The sequence below is a fragment of the Homo sapiens genome, chromosome 6 (assembly GCF_000001405.40).
Source record: "Homo sapiens chromosome 6, GRCh38.p14 Primary Assembly".
Classification (NCBI taxonomy): domain Eukaryota; kingdom Metazoa; phylum Chordata; class Mammalia; order Primates; family Hominidae; genus Homo; species Homo sapiens.
Window position 1 is genome coordinate 74,335,126 of NC_000006.12, and position 20,662 is coordinate 74,355,787.

The 20,662-nt window shown below is 37.6% G+C and overlaps 1 long non-coding RNA gene across 1 annotated transcript in view; it reads left to right on the top strand.

Moving 5' to 3' along the window:
* The window catches only part of LOC101928516 (uncharacterized), a 621,277-nt gene that overhangs the window by 265,675 nt on the left and 334,940 nt on the right, over nucleotides 1-20,662 (top strand). Inside the window, exon 2 of the long non-coding RNA NR_110856.1 lies at nucleotides 11,950-12,004. This is a non-coding gene — a long non-coding RNA (uncharacterized LOC101928516). The remainder of the gene's footprint in view (nucleotides 1-11,949; nucleotides 12,005-20,662) is intronic.

The window sequence follows — 20,662 nt, forward strand, 5'->3', positions numbered from 1 at the left end:
ATGCTTCCTCTGCAAATGATGTGTATTATTTTCCCTTACATTTTTTTTGGGGGGGTGCGAAATCAAGGCCCATCACCACCGTTACCTTCAAAGAGATAGAGAAGCACAATTTTTGTATACTTAGAAGTAGAGAACAGGCTATTAGTAAGCATTGGTAATAATCTACTATACGATAATTTTTACTGTTCTTTTTTTTATTATACTTTAAATTTTAGGGTACATTTGCACAAAGTGCAGGTTAGTTACATATGTATACATGTGCCATGTTGGTGTGCTGCACCCATTAACTCGTCATTTAACATTAGGTATATCTCCTAATGCTATCCCTCCCCACTCCCCTCACCCCACAACAGGCCCCGGTGTGTGATGTTCTCCTTCCTGTGTCCATGTGTTCTCATTGTTCAATTCCCACCTATGAGTGAGAACATGCGGTGTTTGGTTTTTTTGTCCTTCCGATAGTTTGCTGAGAATGATGGCTTCCAGCTTCATCCATGTCCCTGCAAAGGACATGAACTCATCATTTTTTATGGCTGCATAGTATTCCATGGGGTATATGTGCCACATTTTCTTAATTTTTACTGTTCTTAAACCTCCTCAAATCTAAGCACAAGCACATAACACATGCCTTAGCAGATTACTATAATATGCAAGGTTATGGTTAAGGCTAAAATGACTACATTTGTCAAATGTTGATGGTGGGCAGAGTTGATAAACTTTGCTCCAGATGTAGACTTTTTGTATGTCTGTGAGGGTACTTTAGTTGAAAGTAACACAAGACTGGAATGGATCCTTTGCACTGAACCTCGTAATTTCCCGTGGTATGGGCTTCCTTCTTGAGACGATTGCCACTTGCCCACTTGTTAAGTTTTGACAACTTGGGTGACAATCTTCAGCAAGTTCAAGGTTTTGACTTGTGTAAAGAGAGTATCTGAATTCTTGGGGAAAGTGTGTAAGGCGATAACTAATGTCCAAATATAAATACTTCTTAAGTAAACAGATTTAGAAGCAGTTTTCAGAGACCTTGAAGGTTCTGTAAACACTCTTTTTACCTACCCCTGAATACTGGCTTGAAAGATTTTTTTCAGATTTCTCAACTCATAGTTCACACAGAAGAAGCTGCTAACAACTGAGCAGCTTGTGGGCTTGAGTTCTCAGTTCATACTTGGGAACTATGAAGAAAACTCTTTGAGATGCTTCTTGTGTGCTAACAACTATGAACTGAGACCTACTCTATAAAGGTAATAGGGAGGCAATGAAAAGGATGTTACTGATTTTATTAAAATAATAATTCTTTTTAAAAGGTATTAGCTCAGTGACATAAAGTTAAATTCCTGGCCTTAGCTTCCATACAGCAAGTTCAGAAATGGCTCATTAACTTTTGCTAGTTAAAAAGAAAACAATCTTTCAAGCCAGTGTTCAGGGGTAGGTAAAATGAATATTTATAGAACCTTCGAAGTCTCTGAAAACTTCCTCTAGACCTGTTTACTTTAGAAGTACTACTTACATTTGGACATTAGTTATGACACTACACACTTTCCCCAAGAATTCAGACATTCTCTTTACACTAAAGTCAAAACCTCAAACTTGCTAAAGATTTGTCTCTCAAGTTGTTAAAACCTAACAAGTAGGGAAGTGACAGTCCTCAGAAAGAAGTTCCTCAGTTTTATTTCTCAGAGATGTGAATATTGGTTATACAGTCCTTAAATAACCACTGCAATGACCTAATTATTATCAACCTCTTCTCGTTTATTCCTCCCTCCCCCCTCCTTTCCTTTTTTCTTCCATTGTTCCCTCACATTTTCTCTCTTGTGTTCATTTTCTCACATGCCTTCTCTCTCTCTTTTTCTCTCAGGCTATAGTTTTCTCTCTTTCTTTCTCTTTTCTTTCATTCTTTGAATTAACAAGAAGTAAATAGTTCTTTCTGAAATGCTTTGCTTAGCACCACAGCACTAATTATTTAACTAATGTTCTCTTGGAGAATAACTTAAACATGACACACATAAATGGAAGCTACTCAGACTAATTGTTCCTTCTTTAATTAAATGATTAAGTATGATTTGTAATTTGAAAAATATTAAAAGTTAAGCAATAATTAATTAAAAGTTTGTTTTACTTTCTCTTAGTTTTCTATTTCTTAGGAAGGAAATAGGATATAATTTTGTACTGCTGCATAAATCCTGGCAGAAGCGAGACTTGCTATGGGCAATTACCTAGGGTAATCAAATGGAGCCTTGTAAACTCCTCTCACCAGTTTCCCTATATGATTGCTGACTTAGGGAGCCCTATGACATGACATGACATGACTGTTCTCTCAGCTTTGTCTTCCTGCCTTCCAAATCTTTATGTTTTTCAATGACAGATCTCATTGAAAATTAACTACAAAATTTACTAAAATAAACTTTTTTTTCTGAAGTGACAGGAATAATTTCTGTTCACTGACAAGAAATAAATGTGTTTTTTTGTTTTTGTTTCTTTTTTTTTTTTTTTAGACGGAATCTCTCTTTGTCACTCAGGCTGGAGTGCAGTGGGGTGATCTCAGCTTGCTGCAAGCTCTGCCGCCTGGGTTCAAGAGATTCTCCTGCTTCAGCCTCCATACATGCATTTTTTTATTTTTTATATTTTTATATTTTTTATTATACTTTAAGTTTTAGGGTACATGTGCACAACGTGCACGTTTGTTACATATGTATACATGTGCCATGTTGGTGTGCTGCACCCATTAACTCATCATTTATATTAGGTATATCTCTTAATGCTATCCCTCCCCCAGCCCCCCACCCCACAACAGGTCCCGGTGTGTGATGTTCTCCTTCCTGTGTCCAAGTGTTCTCATTGTTCAATTCCCAACTATGATGGAGAACATGCGGTGTTTGGTTTTTCGTCCTTGCAATAGTTTGCTGAGAATGATGGTTTCCAGCTTCATCCATGTCCCTACAAAGGATAAGAACTCATCATTTTTTATGGCTGCATAGTATTCCATGGTGTATATGTGCCACATTTTCTTAATCCAGTCTATCATTGTTGGACTTTTGGGTTGGTTCCAAGTCTTTGCTATTGTGAATAGTGCCACAATAAATATACGTGTGCATGTGTCTTTATAGCAGTATGATTTATAATCCTTTGGGTATATACCCAGTAATGGGATGGCTGGGTCAAATGGTATTTCTAGTTCTAGATCCCTGAGGAATCGCCACACTGACTTCCACAATGGTTGAACTAGTTTACAGTCCCACCAACAGTGTAAAAGTGTTCCTATTTCTCCACATCCTCTCCAGCACCTGTTGTTTCCTGACTTTTTAATGATCGCCATTCTAACTGGTGTGAGATGGTATCTCATTGTGGTTTTGATTTGCATTTCTCTGAAGACCAGTGATGATGAGCATTTTTTCATGTGTCTGTTGGCTGCATAAATGTCTCCTTTTGAGAAGCTTCTGTTCATATCCTTCGCCCACTTGTTGATGGGGTTGTTTGTTTTTTTCTTGTAAATCTGTTTCAGTTCTTTGTAGATTCTGGATATTAGCCCTTTGTCAGATAAGTAGATTGCAAAAGTTTTCTTCCATTGTGTAGTGTAGGTTGCCTGTTCACTCTGATGGTAGTTTCTTTTGCTGTGCAGAAGCTCTTTAGTTTAATTAGATCACATTTGTCCATTTTGGCTTTTGTTGCCATTGCTTTTGGTGTTTTAGACATGAAGTCCTTGCCCATGCCTATGTCCTGAATGGTATTGCCTAGGTTTTCTTCTAGGGTTTTTATGGTTTTAGGTCTAATATGTAAGTCTTTAATCCATCTTGAATTAATTTTTGTGTAAGGTGTAAGGAACAGATCCAGTTTCAGCTTTCTACATATGGCTATCCAGTTTTCCCAGCACCATTTATTAAATAAGGAATCCTTTCCCCGTTTCTTATTTTTGTCAGGTTTGTCAAAGATCAGATAGTTGTAGATGTGTGACATTATTTCTGAGGGCTCTGTTCTGTTCCATTGGTCTATATGTCTGTTTTGGTACCAGTACCATGCTGTTTTGGTTACTGTAGCCTTGTAGTATAGTTTGAAGTCAGGTAGCATGTTGCCTCCAGCTTTGTTCTTTTGGCTTAGGATTGACTTGGCAATGTGGGCTCTTTTTTGGTTCCATATGAACTTGAAAGTAGTTTTTTCCAGTTCTGTGAAGAAAGTCACTGGTAGCTTGATGGGGATGGCATTGAATCTATAAATTACCTTGGGCAGTATGGCCATTTTCATGATATTGATTCTTCCTACCCATGAGCATGGAATGTTCTTCCATTTGTTTGTATCCTCTTTTATTTCATTGAGCAGTGTAGTTCTCAATGAAAATAAAACTCAGTGTAGTTTTATTTGTAGCTCTTCTTGAAGAGGTCTTTCACATCCCTTGTAAGTTGGATTCCTGGGTATTTTATTCTCTGAAGCAGTTGTGAATAGGAGTTCACTCATGATTTGGCTCTCTGTTTGTCTGTTATTGGTGTATAAGAATGTTTGTGATTTTTGCACATTGATTTTGTATCCTGAGACTTTGCTGAAGTTGCTTATCAGCTTAAGGAGATTTTGGGCTGAGATGATGGGGTTTTCTAGATATACAATCATGTCATCTGCAAACAGGGACAATTTGACTTCCTCTTTTCATAATTGAATGCCTTTTTTTTCCTTCTCCTGCCTGATTGCCCTGGCCAGAAGTTCCAACACTGTGTTGAATAGGAGTGGTGAGAGAGGGCATCCCTGTCTTGTGCCAGTTTTCAAAGGGAATGCTTCCAGTTTTTGCCCATTCAGTATGATATTGGCTGTGGGTTTGTCATAAACAACTCTTATTATTTTGAGATACATCCCATCAATACCTAATTTATTGAGAGTTTTTAGCATGAAGGGCTGTTGAATTTGTCCAAGGCCTTTTCTGCATCTATTGAGATAATCATGTGGTTTTTGTCTTTGGTTCTGTTTATATGCTGGATTACATTTATTGATTTGTGTATACTGAACCAGCCTTGCATCCCAGGGATGAAGCCCACTTGATCATGGTGGATAAGCTTTTTGATGTGATGCTGGATTCTGTTTGCCAGTATTTTATTGAGGATTTTTGCATTGACGTTCATCAGGGATATTGGTCTAAAGTTCTTTTTTTGTTGTGTCTCTGCCAGGTTTTGTTATCAGGATGATGCTGGCCTCATAAAATGAGTTAGGGAGGATTCCCTCTTTTTCTATTGATTGGAATAGTTTCAGAAGGAATGGTAACAGCTCCTCCTTGTACCTCTGGTAGAATTCAGCTGTGAATCCATCTGGTCCTGGACTTTTTTTGGTTGGTAAGCTATTAATTATTGCCTCAATTTCAGATCCTGTTATTGGTCTATTCAGAGATTCAACTTCTTCCTGGTTGAGTCTTGAAAGCATGTATATGTTGAGGAATTTATCCATTTCTTCTAGATTTTCTAGTTTATTTGCGTAGAGGTGTTTATAGTATACTCTGATGGTAGTTTGTATTTCCGTGGGATTGGTGGTGATATCCCCTTTATCATTTTTTATTGCGTCTATTTGATTCTTCTTTCTTTTCTTCTTTATGAGTCTTGCTAGGAGTCTATCAATTTTGTTGATCTTTTCAAAAAACCAGCTCCTGGATTCATTGATTTTTTGAAGGGATTTTTGTGTCTCTATCTCCTTCAGTTCTGCTCTGACCTTAGTTAATTCTTGCCTTCTGCTAGCTTTTGAAAGTGTTTGCTCTTGCTTCTCTAGTTCTTTTAATTGTGATGTTAAGGTGTCAATTTTATCTCTTTCCTGCTTTCTCTTGTGGGCATTTAGTGCTATAAATTTCCCTCTACACACTGCTTTAAATGTGCCCCAGAGATTCTGGTATGTTGTGTCTTTGTTCTCATTGGTTTCAAAGAACATCTTTATTTCTGCCTTCATTTCGTTATGTACCCAGTAGTCATTCAGGAGCAGTTTGTTCAGTTTCCATGTCGTTGAGTGGTTTTGAGTGAGTTTCTTAATCCTGAGTTCTAGTTTGATTGCACTGTGGTCTGAGAGACAGTTTGTTATAATTTCTGTTCTTTTACATTTACTGAGGAGTGCTTTACTTACAACTATGTGGTCAATTTTGGAATAAGTGTGGTGTGGTGCTGAGGAGAATGTATATTCTGTTGATTTGGTGTGGGGAGTTCTGTAGATGTCTATTAGGTCAGCTTGGTGCAGAGCTGAGTTCAATTCCTGGATATCCTTGTTAACTTTCTGTCTCGTTGATCTGTCTAATGTTGACAGTGGGGTGTTAAAGTCTCCCATTATTATTGTGTGGGAGTCTAAGTCTCTTTCTAGGTCTCTAAGGGCTTGTTTTATGAATCTGGGTGCTCCTGTATTGGGTGCATATACATTTAGGATAGTTAGCTCTTCTTGTTGAATTGATCCCTTTACCATTATGTAATGGCCTTCTTTGTCTCTTTTGATCTTTGTTGGTTTAAAGCCTGTTTTATCTGAGACTAGGATTGCAACCCCTCCCTTTTTTTGTTTTCTATTTGCTTGGTAGATCTTCCTCCATCTCTTTATTTTGATCCTATGTGTGTGTCTGTATGTGAAATGGGTTTCCTGAATACAGCATACTGATGGGTCTTGACTCTTTATCCATCTTGCCAGTTTGTGTCTTTTAATTGGAGCATTTAGCCCATTTACATTTAAAGTTTATATTGTTATGTGTGAATTTGATCCTGTCATTATGATGTCAGCTGGTTAGTTTGCTCGTTAGGTGATGCAGGTTCCTTCTAGCCTCGATGGTCTTTACAATTTGGCATGTTTTTGCAGTGGCTGGTACTGGTTGTTTCTTTCCATGTTTAGTGCTTCCTTCAGGAACTCTTGTAGGGCAGGCCTGGTGGTGACAAAATCTCTCAGCATTTGCTTGTCTGTAAAGTATTTTATTTCTCCTTCAGTTATGAAGTTTAGTTTGACTGGATATGAAATTCTGGGTTGAAAATTCTTTTCTTGAAGAATGTTGAATATTGGCCCCCACTCTCTTCTGGCTTGTAGAGTTTCTGCCAAGAGATCCACTGTTAGTCTGATGGGCTTCCCTTTGTGGGTAACCTGACCTTTCTCTCTGGCTGCCCTTAACATTTTTTCCTTCATTTCAACTTTGGTGAATCTGACAATTATGTGTCTTGGGGTTGCTCTTCTCGAGGAGTATCTTTGTGGCGTTCTCTTTATTTCCTGAATTTGGATATTGGCCTGCCTTGCTAGATTGGGGAAGTTTCTCCTGGGTAATATCCTGCAGAGTGTTTTCCAACTTGGTTCCATTCTCCCCGTCACTTTCAGGTACACCAATCAGACGTAGATTTGGTCTTTTCACATAGTCCCATATTTCTTGGAGGCTTTGTTCATTTCTTTTTATTCTTTTTTCTCTAAACTTCTCTTCTCGCTTCATTTCATTCATTTGATCTTCCATCACTGATACCCTCTCTTCCAGTTGATTGAATTGGCTACTGAAGCTTGTGCATTCGTTATGTAGTTCTCATGCCTTGGTTTTCAGCTCCATCAGGTCCTTTAAGGACTTCTCTGCATTGGTTCTTCTAGTTAGCCATTCATCTAATCTTTTTTTCAAGGTTTTTAACTTCTTTGCCATAGGTTCGAACTTCATCCTTTAGCTCAGAGAAATTTGATCATCTGAAGCCTTCTTCTCTCAACTTGTTAAAGTCATTCTCCATCCAGCTTTGTTCCATTGCTGGTGAATGCAGCTGCATTCCTTTGGAGGAAGAGAGGCTCTCTGATTTTTAGAATTTTCGGTTTTTCTGCTCTGCTTTTTCCCCATCTTTGTGGTTTTATCTACCTTTGGTCTTTGATGATGGTGACGTACAGATGGGGTTTTGGCATGGTTGTCCTTTCTGTTTGTTAGTTTTCCTTCTAACAGTCAGGACCCTCAGCTGCAGGTCTGTTGGAGTTTGCCAGAGGTCCACTCCAGACCCTCTTTGCCTGGGTATCAGCAGTGGAGCTGCAAAACAGTGAATATTGGTGAATAGCAAATGTTACTGCCTGATCGTTCCTCTGGAAGTTTTGTCTTAGAGGGGTACCCAGCTGTGTGAGGTGTCTGTCTGCCCCTACTTGGGGGTGCCTCCCAGTTAGGCTACTCGGGGGTCAGGGACCCACTTGAGGAGGCAGTCTGTCCGTTCTCAGATCTCCAGCTGTGTGCTGGGAGTACCACTACTGTCTTCCAAGATGTCAGACAGGGACATTTAAGTCTTCTGACGTTTCTGCTGCCTTTTGTTCGGCTATGCCCTGCCCCCAGAGGTGGAGTCTACAGAGGCAGGCAGGCCTCCTTGAACTGTGGTGGGCTCCACCAAGTTTGAGCTTCCTGGCTGCTTTGTTTACCTGCTCAACCCTCAGAAATGGCAGGTGCCCCTCCCCCAGCCTTGCTGCTGCCTTGCAGTTTGATCTCAGACTGCTGTGCTTGCAATGAGTGAGGCTCCGTGGGCCTAGGACCCTCTGAGCCACGCGTGGGATATAATCTCCTGGTGTGCCATTTGCTAAGACCATCAGAAAAGCACAGTATTAGGGTGGGAGTGACCCGATTTTCCAGGTGCAGTCTGTCACCACTTTTCTTGGCTAGGAATGGGAATTCCCTGACCCCTTGCACTTCCCTGGTGAGGCAATGCCTCGCCCTGCTTCAGCTCATGCTCGGTGCCCTGCACCTACTCTCCGACAATCCCCAGTGAGATGAATCCAGTACCTCAGTTGGAAATGCAGAAATCAGCTGTCTTCTGTGTTGCTCACGCTGGGAGCTGTAGATTGGAGCTTTTCCTATTTGGCCGTCTTGAAACCACCCCTCTCACAAGCATTTTTAAAAGAGAAAAGTGTACAGCTTTTACATGGCCCAGCAGGAATCAAAATGAATTCTAGTAAATTTCCACCAGGTGGCACCTGCCTTTTGAACTTTGGAAAGAAATTCTAAATGCTGAGGAAAGCCACTTTTATTTCAGAAATAGGGTCGGTTCTGGAAAAGAATTCTAGTCAGTGGAATAGCATTTATAGAAAAAAATACCCTTAAACTATTCTAAGATGCTTTCAAAGTAAAATATGTGATTAAATAATATGTTTAATTTGGGAAAAATTTAGGCTATATAAATAAGGCCAATCCTAGTTTAATCTGAGCTCCCCAGGATGTAAGTTCTACAAAGTTGTAATTTGTAGTTAATCTTTCCAACCGGCTCTCATTTTGAGTGTCTCTCTAACTTTTAATAAGCACAGCAACTAGCACATACTTAGCAATCAAGTGTCTTCTTGACCTGATTTCATTTATAAATCAGTCATCAACTTGCCAGTCAAAAATTCTTAGGCAAACATTTTAACATTTTATCCAAAACCATGGGATTGGTAGTGTGAATCTTCCAAGTAAAACAAAATAGGTCCAGCTCCGCTGGCCACATACTTCTTGTCTATGCACATGGCTCTTTCCAAATCGTTGGCTAAACTGTCACCCCATCCTTGCTGCTCTTCTCAGATCTTTTTATGTGGATCAGGACATAATATGCCTTACCAGATGTTACCCTGACACAGTCATGGAAAAACAGCCAGTTTCACAGTCTTGTATTCACCAAAGATATTAATTTTTACGGAGCAGAATCCAAATTGGGTGATGTCTTTTGTTTTCTTTGGGGTTTTATTCACTGATGATAAACAACCATGCTGAGAAGTCAGGAACAGATTTTTGTTATTTAGAAAGAACAACAGCAAATGAGAAAGATCCACTCAAAAATATACATTTGAGTCTTCAGGGCAGGGCTTCCTGGACCTGTTGATGCTAGTATGTGATACACAGCCTGTATCCTGAGATTGGTAAATTCAGTCAAGTTACTAAAGACTGTCAGAGAGGACGGAAGGAGCCCATTATAAGACTGACTGACTTAGTTGGAACCTGGAAGGTTTTTTAGAAATGGTTTTCAATAACAATTGTCATATACCTGCTTAAAAATGAGATGTACCCTCCTTGTCACAATCCCCTACATATTGATGCTGAGTTTGATAGCAGTTATTTTATCATTACTGAGTTTCCTCTAAATCAAGATACTAAGTATTTCTACTTGAGAGATGGGATGGCAAAAATAGAGAATTTTAAGTTTTAGCAATGGCATTTTCTTCTTCCAGTATAGTTCATACTTTAGACAAATGTCACATTATTTGATTTCTAAAAGGAAAGTGTCTACTGTAATAGTTGATAGGCTCATAAAAGATGTGTTTTGGATACGGGATCTAACAATTCTATGGGAAATGTTATTTATTTCTGCCATGATAAAAGCATCTTAACTGTCTGTCTACATGATTGCCAGATTTAATAAACTGTTGCTCAGTTTGAATTTCAGATGATTATAAATATATTAAATGTCACAAGTATTGCAAGAGAAATGCTCTACAAATTATGTTAAAATGATTTGAGGTTTATCTGAAATTCAAATTCTACTGGGTGCCCTGTATTTTGTCTGGCAATTTACCTGGTAGGTGACTCATTTATGTGCCACCCTCCTTCACAGTTGCCACAGCAAGGATGGCAGAAAACCTTCTGCAACAACATGCACCTCAAGACCCTCAACTCTTGCCAGCATCCTATTTTCCAAGTAAGGGTTCCCAGTGTTAAGAAAAGGACCACTGCAGCTTGCTGTCATTGGCAAAATTCCATGCTAACTTCAGCTGGAATTGCAGAGCCAATATAATAGAATTATATCAGAGTGGTACCTGGAATCTCTGAAGAGTCTCCTGAGAAGAGCTACTCCTGCAATAGCTCCCCAAACTTCAGTTCACAGGGCTACATTAAATAAACTACCTGAGGAGCTCTCGTTTGTGAGTGGTCAAACTAAATTTCATTTTGGTCTTATCTAGCAGGAAACAGATCCAGGAGAAAGTTATCTAGCATGATGATTATAATATTTTACCTTTGCTCCTACCCTCCATGTCCCTATCCTCTGCAAAGGGAATGACTACAGAGAGTATGAATTTTTCATACTTGTCACAGTTTGTCCAAGAAGAGTTAAGAAACCAACCCTGTACTATTTCTTTTCTTTATTGGTGGAGAACTAGCATGTGCCTTGGGCATGCACTCAAAGGCACATCCTGGTTCTCACTTATATTGATCACACATAGGGTAACTTATAACCCTTCTTTGAGAAATATACCAAAATAAACCTTTCTAAGAAAGAGGAAGAAGGGAAATTTCAGACCTATAAGCCTCTCTTATACTATACTTATACATATTTAACTTTGCTTACATATATACTTTAAAAAATACTTGAGATTTAGTTATGCATATATTATTATGTTCAGCATCAATAGGTATAATGGGTACAGCAAAGATAAAAATCAGAACTTTTACATCATCTGAGAATATAGTTTAACAGAGGCTGCTGATATATGGCTATGAACCAATTGAGTAACAATGCAATGTAGTATATGAAGAAATGCCATCATTGGTCATAGAAAGAAGGAAGGTACAATAGTTCAGTGAAATGGTAAATACGTGTAGTCTTAAATGGATCTTGATGGGTCCATGTAATTAATGAAGGGGTATAGGAAACAACAGAAAGGAAGGCTGAAAAAGAGCAGGGGCACTCAAGGGTCAATGAGTACTGGGCCTAGATGAAGGAGAAGACTCCTGTGGAGCAAATGTGGGGATACCTTGGCAGAGGGAGAATGATGCAATATGATGACAACCTATGGTGTTTGAACTTGGTGTTATAGGCCGTGGAAAGTTGCCGGAGATTTTAGAGTCCTCAAGTGACATGATGAAAGGGTTCTAGCAGCAATACGTAAACTAGATGAGAAGGAAAATAGTGAACTTCGACAGCGCAGGTGTTGGTTGTGCACTTTCACTCAGAGTGAGTCTGAAAGCCAACAAAAGATTTAATGTAGTGTAAAACACATACACTAATATACATAGAGATGTATATAATATGAGTATAAAGCAAGCTCTGCTCTCTTTTTCCTTCCCAGAGAACTTCCCTTCATGATGCTATGCAATCCCCAGGAGAAGCACGTTGAAAGCTGAGTGAGTTTCTTACATTACCTCTGTTCTTTGACGTGACTGCATTGAGGTCAAGCTGTACGTTGTGTTCATTCTGTTTCTTGGTATTCCATCATTGTTATATTGCAAAGGGAGAGGGGTGGGAAACTATAGCCCTTCTTGTCCAGGAAGAGTTTTTATTTTTATTTTTTAAGATGTTGCTAGGCTTCATGATTATAAATAAATTAAAACCAGAAACTGTGTTTTCTCTTGGGCACGTACTTAAAAATAGTCTTTGAAGTGACATGGTTAAGTGTCAAAGGAAATCCCCACTGCAGTCAATTTTAGAATAATTCCTAAGGACCTCAGGAATGTGCAACCCATTGTTGTATGCAAGTGGAAAATAAGCTGTTTTTAAAAAAAGTATATACATTATAAGGGAAAAGCAAAACTAGCATGATGAGATCACTGATGTTTTCAATATGAAAACAAAGTACATTATAAATAACAAATAGATTTTAGCTTCATTCTAACTAATTTTCCCTGTGCTGCAAGAAAAATAAAAGTTCCAGAATCCTGACAGAAAACAGAATGGGAATAATGATATTCTTAAAAATCCTTGATGTTCCAAAAACAGATTTCCTGTTATTGTGGTACCTATAACTTCTTGTTTTTATTACTGCTTGTAATGTAATCTCAATTTTTATTGTTGTCTTAATTCCAAAGTCCTTTGGGCTGTATCTTCACCACGAAGTCAAAAGTAGAGACTGGAAAACTGTATTAAATTCATAGGCTTGCCTCAAGTATCTGATGGGCATTTGCTAATCAAAATGTCAACCTCCATGTCCTTAGGCAACTCAAATATTAGTTGAGTTGGTAATCTTTCAGAAGAGATTTAACACATTTAAATGTGTTAAATGGTGATCTTTCAGAAGAGATTTAACACATTTTCTGTCCCCAAACAGCTTTCACTTTTATTCAAACTTAGATTTGGTGGTGGGGAGGAAGACATTAAAGAATCAGTGAATCAATTATTTTTGCACTTGCCATTCTGAAAAGTGCTATGAGGGAAAATCTAACAGATGGAAATTTGTGTATATTTGTAGAAGATGAAGAGCAGGAAAGAAAACATTCTAGGCAGACTGCATGTGGCAAGAACTTAAAGCAAGACACTAACACATGAGGAAAGAAACAGAGACCAATGTTGTGGAGCTCACCAAGTGTGCTGAATTATATATTCTTTCACAATTACTTATTCCTTTTCTGCCCTTGGATGCTTCCCTGCCTAGACTTTGGGCTTGGCTATATTGCTTTTTGGACATCGAGATATGAATAGACATAATATTTTTCATACATGAGCTAGTACTTTCGATGCAATGGCATGGCTTAACTAGGATCCTCTTTCCTGTCCTCTGCCTTGATAGAACAGAATGCACTGAATCCGGATGGATCTTTCCACCTTCATCCCCAAATGTGAAGAAAGTGGTGAAAATTGCATTTCCCTCACAGGCTAGAGAAGAGTCTCAGAGAATAGCTGGCCAGACTTGGCATGTAATGTGAGCAAAAATGACCCCTTGAAATTTTAAGCCATGAGATTTGGGGGAGTTGTTTGTTGAGCATTAGTATTAATTTAACAAAAGCTGACAGACATTGAGGATGGAAAAAAGAAACAAAGAAAAGCAAGAAGATAAAAAAAAAGGCCAGATCATTCAGGAACCTGTAGGCAATATTAAGGATTTTGTTTAAACATACGAATAATGGGAAGTCATTGAAACCAGGTCTTGACACAATCAGGATTTTGTTTAAGAAGAGGAGAAATCACTCTGGCCATACCAAAAACCAAAACAATATAATAACCCCAAATGGGCAAAAATGCAGATGAATGTTCGTAAGTTATTGCAGCAAGGAAGGCTATCTAAAATGTATTGAGTACTTGTTGCTAGGCTTTCTTCTAAGGACTTTACACAATGTAATGGCTAATTAAATCATTATAATGAGGTAGGCCATTTTATTTTTCCTATTAACTATGAGCAAATTGAGGCACAAGGAAGATGTCTTAGTCCATTCGTGCTTCCATAACAAAATACAATAAGGTGGGTGGCTTGTAAACAATAGAAATGTATTTGTCACAGATGTGGAGGTTGGGAAGTCCAAGGTCAAGGTGCCAGCAGATTTAATGTCTGGTAAGGGTCTACTTTCTGGTACACAGGTAGTGACTTCTGGCAGTGTTCTTATTGGTGGAAGGGCCAAGGCAGACCTCTTGGGCTTTTCTTATAAGGGCAACTAATCCCATTCAGAAGGGCTCCACTCTCATGATCTCATCTCCTCCCAAAGGCCTCACATGGTAATATCACATTGGTGATTAAGTTTGTAAACCAGAAATAAAATTCTAAGCCAATTCTAAGCCCACCTCTCCCTTTGGCCAAGGGCATTCCAAATTATTCTGAAAAACTATTTCAGGCCATGTTGGGAAATGGGGGTCAGACAAACATCAACACAGAGATCTTAAGCCTGATAGAACAGACTCTTTAAATCTGATAAGAAACATTTACAGTCTATTTTTTCTGAAATCCTGCTACCTGGAGCCTTCATCTGCATGATAAAACCTTGGTTTCCACAACCCCTTATTTTGTTTTATTTATTTATTTATTTATTTATTTTGAGATGGAGCCTTGCTCTTGTCACCCAGGCTGGAATGCAGTGGCATGATCTCGGCTCACTGCAACCTCCACCTCCCGGGTTCAAGGGATTCTACTGCCTCAGCCTCCTGAGTAGCTGGGATTACAGGTGTGCACCACCATGCCCAGCTAATTTTTGTATTTTTAGTAGAGACGGAGTTTTGCCATGTTGGCCAGGCTGGTCTCGAACTCCTGACCTCATGATCTGCCCACCTCGGCCTCCCAAAGTGCTGGGATTATAGGCGTGAGCCACCGTGCCTGGCCCCACAACCCCTTATTGTAACCCAGACATTCCTTTCTATTGATTCCAGGTCTTTAGATAATAACTCTTTCAACCAATTGCCAATCAGAAAATCTTTAAATCTATCTGTGACCTGGAAGCTCCTGCTTCGAGTTTTTTTGTGTTTGCAGACCAAACTGCGGTACATCTTACACGCATTGATTGATGTTTCATGTCTCCCCAAAATGTCTAAAACCAAGCAGCTGTACCCTGACCACCTTGGGCACAAGTTGTCAGGACCTCCTAAGGCTGTGTCTCAGGCATATCCTTAACCTTGGCAAAATACACTAAATTGATTGAGACTTATCTCAGATACATTTTTGGTTTACAAGTTTCAACATATAAATTTTAGAACACAAAAACATTCAAACTATAGCAGAAGAGAAACAATTTTACCAAGGTTCCACATATATTAAGTGGCAGAGCCAGTAATTCATTTCAGACAATCTGGCTTCACTGCCTGAGTTCTCAGCCAGAGGGATGCAGAAGACAGAGGATGGTGGTTTGAACTGGGGCTGAAGAAAGGGAGATGGAGAGGCTCAGAAGAAGTTGAAAGATATTTGCAAAGTAGAAATATCAGGACTTGATTTTTGATAGGCTATGGGACATAAGAGCAGGAGATTTTAAAGATAACTTCCTTATATGAGAAATGGGTAATATACTGAGATGGGGATATTGAAGAGGACAGGTTGGGAGGTGAGATTCTGAATTCTGATTGTAAGCTGCTTGAGAGTAGAAGCTGTGTAATATCAAGTGTTTTGCTTTGTCTGTTGTAGAGACACAGTGACAATATGTAAAATAAATGAGTCATATTATTTACAAAGCCCATTTTAAATAGCATGAAACTTTCGTATAACAATTCTTTTTCATGAAGATGAATTTCTCTGAAGTGTTTCTTTTGCTGAAGTTCACAAATTTGAATCAGAACGAACACTCATTTTTGGCATGGATATATTCTCCATACACACAAGATAAATTCTTGTGTTATAGTTTTGTACTTCACTGCTACTTCATTTTATTAGTGGAAAATGCTCCTTCCTGAGATGTACCCATATACCATTCTGCAGCTTCATTGTCATGTTAGTGCTAATTTAATGTGATTCAGAGTTTCAACATAGAACAGCATTTATTTTGCTAATGCAGCAATGAAAGAACAAGCATTTACTACAGGACTGCCCTGTGCCAACACTATGTAAACAGGTTATAACAAGGTTATTTCATTGACTCCAACTATTCTTTTACAAATTGTAGGTGTTTTTGCCTTGGCCACAGTTTCCTCCTGTTACATTGTATTTCTGGGCTATTACAGTCATTAGATTGTACTTTTTAAAGGAATATTTTAGAATAATGAATATTAAGTATGAATAATAAAGGTAAACTTTCTTTAAATTTACTGAAGCTCATCTGGCCAAATTATGCTGCTGTCCCTTAAAGTGGCCACTTAAGAAAGTTGGAGTCTTTTAGAATCAATATGACCGAATTACCTCATCCGTTGTAAGGGTCCCAAAGAGACTTGCTGCCCTTATGGTTTAATGAAGCCCACTATCCCTTTGTTTACCTCTTCCTCATTCATGGCTGTGCTCACTGCCACCTGATTGTCTTCAGCGGAGACACTTAAGTACAATCTTGAAGCCACATGATTGTGAACAGAGACCCATGGGACTGTCAGGCCAGAAGAAAACAGAGACTGGAGTAAGATTTATGTAGGGATGCCAAGGAAGAGCTAGTTATTTGTGTATTATCTGTCTGAGATAAATGTGTGTGATCAAGGTGACATATAAAATATTCAGCAACCAGTATGGCATGTCTGTCTATAATCAGAAAATATGCAGCTGCCCATTAAGACAGAAATAAATCACTAGTCATAATAAATACCAACCACAAATAACTGTTAGGGCCTACAAATGGTTTCTGGTTAAATATCAGTCTTGGGAGCAGTTTGTCAAGCGGTGTAAGTGTGAGTTGTAAGAAGGCTAGGGCTGCTTATACTATGTAAAATTATGCACTTATTTGTCTCAATTACAGGATATAACTGACTGAAAAAGGAGTACAATGACATGTTTTAGCAAATAGGTCAACCCTAAGGAAGATATTTGTTTACAAAATTGATAGTTGTATTTCCTAAGACATTATGTATATTATCTGGTACTTTATAATTTATGAAGTATGTCTATGTCTGCCATTTCATTGGAAACTTACTGGAGTCTTGAGAGGTGAACAGGATTAGAGAGGTTAAGTAATTTTCCCAAGGCCATATGGCTAATAAACAGAATAGTTATGATGAGATGACAGTCCTTTTAGAAAGATGTGAAATTATAAAAATAAATTAATGGTTTTCTTACAAAAGTTGAATGGCTTCAGAACAACATAGGGAGGTTCAAAATTACAGTGAAATAAATAGTAACAGATGTTTTTCTTGGGCAATGATAGTGAAATAAGGTAAATTTTTAAAAATAATTTTGTGTGTAAAACAAATTTGTGTACGTTGAACTATCAGAAAACAAAGGTGTCACTGTATCAGCCACCCATGTGGACAATCTGTGTTTAGTATCATCATCGTTCCTGACTCTGGATTTATATGCTACTGATAAGTAATCATTGTCTTATACTTATTCACATACAAGCACTTAATAGTGAAAAATATGACATACCATTAATTCAGTAAAAAAAAAAATAATGTGTTCAGGGTAACTAAGCAGCACAGTAGCATCACCAGAACACCTGTATCAGCTGCTAAACAACAGCAACCACAAACAATGGCAGGCTTTTAGCCTCCACCTGTGAGGAAGTGTTTTGATTAAAAGGTTACTATACATTGTACTTTTTAAATTTTGATACTGTGTTTGTGCTTATGAAAATTAAAAAATGGCATATATTTGATGGCCTTTCAAGACACTGATCTTGATTCTGTTAAAAATTCATTTTTTCTACTCGTTGTCCAACTCCAATAAAATGAACAAGGAGTCCTTGGAGAAATGGCTGAATCTAAAGCTGAGGTCGAAAAAGTATAAGATGAGTCTCACCATCTTGCATTACCAGGAAATAAATTGTGAAAACAAAACAAACCAGAAACAAAAGGATGCAGCTGTGTTCAAGGAACATGGAAGCCAATTTGAAAGAGCTCCCAATGGCCAAAGCTGAACAATTTGAGCAACAAAATGAATAATGTAGTATTGAATTATAGTATAAAATATAAAATAAGTATCTATGGGTCTATAGTGATAAACATGATTTGTTGAATAAATATATTGGGGCAAGGAGATAAATATTCCTTACATAAAATTCCTAACAATACATGTATAAAATCCCTTCTCCAGGAGATGAAGTTTTATGACCCCCTACAACCTTGCCACCTTTGAGTGTGAGCCAAACACTCACACTCAATTGCTGAATATTTTATATTTTAGTGACTTTCTTCCAAAGAATAGTGTATGGAAAGGGAAAAATAGTAACTTTACAGTGAAGAACCCTGGTAATCACCACCTTAACAAAATGATCAAAGTTAACATCACCAGTAACAACTAATGTTCATGTCATCTACCCGTGATATTACTTATTTAGAAGGGTACTTTATATTCAATGTAATTTTTCCAAAAACCTATAAAATCAGTTTAATCATAATACACTAGACAAACCCAAATTGAATGGCATTCTATAAAATACCTAATCAGTACTTCTCAAAACTTCAAGGTCATGAAAACAAAGGGAGATTGAGAAACTGTCAGGAGCTAGAGGAGCTCTTCAGATGTAAGAAGTAAGCACAATATGGAATCCTGGATTGGGAACTGGAACAGACATTTCCAGAAATGGAAAGACTGGTAAAATAAGAATAGAGTCTGGAGTTTAGTTAAAAGTAATGTAACAATGTTGTTTTCTTAGTTTTGAAAATATATAATGGTAAAGTCAGACAATAGAGTAGGGGAAACTGAAACCAGGGTATATGAGAACTCTGTACTATCTTTGGAACTCTGCTGCAAATCTAAAATTATTCCAAAATAAAAAGTTTATTACAAACAAATTATTTGTTTCAAAGAAAGTCCTTGTGTGCATGAATCTATGAATCTGTCTGTATACGCATATATGCATGAATGCCAATCAGTAGAGTTTAGAATATTGTTGACAATTCCATAATATTGAGTAATAGTGACTTTTTGGTTTAATGTTTCTATTATATTTTGGCCATTTTTTGTATGTGTTCATAAACCCACATGATTTTTATGTTCATGTTGTCATACTCAAGAACATCTTCACTATTTATGTGTACTTTCATTCATCTCTGAAGTGAAAATGTTTTAAACATCAATTTTTTTTCAGCATTAAAGACTCTTCTGTTCAGGGACATGAGGCAACGGATAGCCAGAGCACATACCTGCTTTTATTTCTACAATGATTAAAGAGTCAAGAGCCTCCTTGGGGTAGCATTCCATAGAACAGGGATTTGTCTTTTAGTAACAGTGAAGAAACATCACATCGAAGTTCTTACATTCTTCTCGAGCTTCCAGACCTCACACAGTTTCTGTCTCTGTTGATGTTCAATTTGTGAAGCCATGATAATGGCAAATATTATCTGTTTTTCAAGAAAAAATAACTTGGCATATACACTTATCTGTAGTAATATGTCTAGGATGAATAAGAAAATTTGTGAAAGTAGAACTGGCTATTTTGTGAAGTAAGAAGAGAATTGTGGAAGGCCAGCATTTCCTGGAAAGGTTTGTTGTTCATCAAGCTCAATTTGGTGTGCCTTGGAGGGAAGAATAAGAAAGAATGTATCAAATTCCCTAATGTTGAACTTACTAGTATATCAATAACATCACCTATTCAAGGCTTTATATCTCTACACTAATCTGGCCTGATTTGAGGAAGCTACTGATCCATTTTTCATGTCTAAATACTTTCCAGAATGACTTAATATTTTTGTTTGTCCTCCCAGATTTTTGCAGTCAATTCCCCTGTCCTTCAGACTGTGTGCATGAGATACCAAACCAACTAGTAAATTCATTGAAAAAAACCCAAAAAACAAAAGCCATATTCATCTTGTTGTTGGGCATTGTTTTGATAAACACGTTGCTTAATGATGGCTCTTGTTCCAATCTGTTGCAGAGTTGTATAGACACAGACGCCTATTCTGCCATACAGCAGTTTGGGGAATTTTTTCTTGACTTGAATGATTTGCCAATGTCTACAATGCAGACATAAACAATTTCCTCTTATTGCTAGGCTCTAAATAATGATAAAATTTAATAATGCTAATATTTGGAAACATCCTGGCAATTGTTTGAGTTTTCTTTTTATATTCAATAATTTTACATTGATTATAGTTCATACATTTTAACAACTAAATTCTTAGGTAATGTAACAGCTGTGAACTAAACCAATTTTTTAAAACTAGATAACCCAAAATTTCAAATATACAGAAATTAACGCATTAAAATCCTTCCTCACATCTAAAATGCTTCTCAAGTGGTAAAATCAATCACTAAACTATGAAAGGATAGGTATTCTTAATCATTAATCAATGGACCTAAATAAGTTACCAACAAAAATGTTAAGAATAGCAGCTTTTAGATTCTGATTTTACATACATATTTCCTCAAAAGATTATAAAACCAAAGATAGTAAGATTTCTCCTCCTTTTTTAAGTAAAATAATTGGTGAGAAATGTTTTCTCTTAAAAATATTAACTTGCTTTCCAAGGATATGTTAGTTTTTATTATTGCTCTTTTCATTTCCTCCTTTTGGATTATG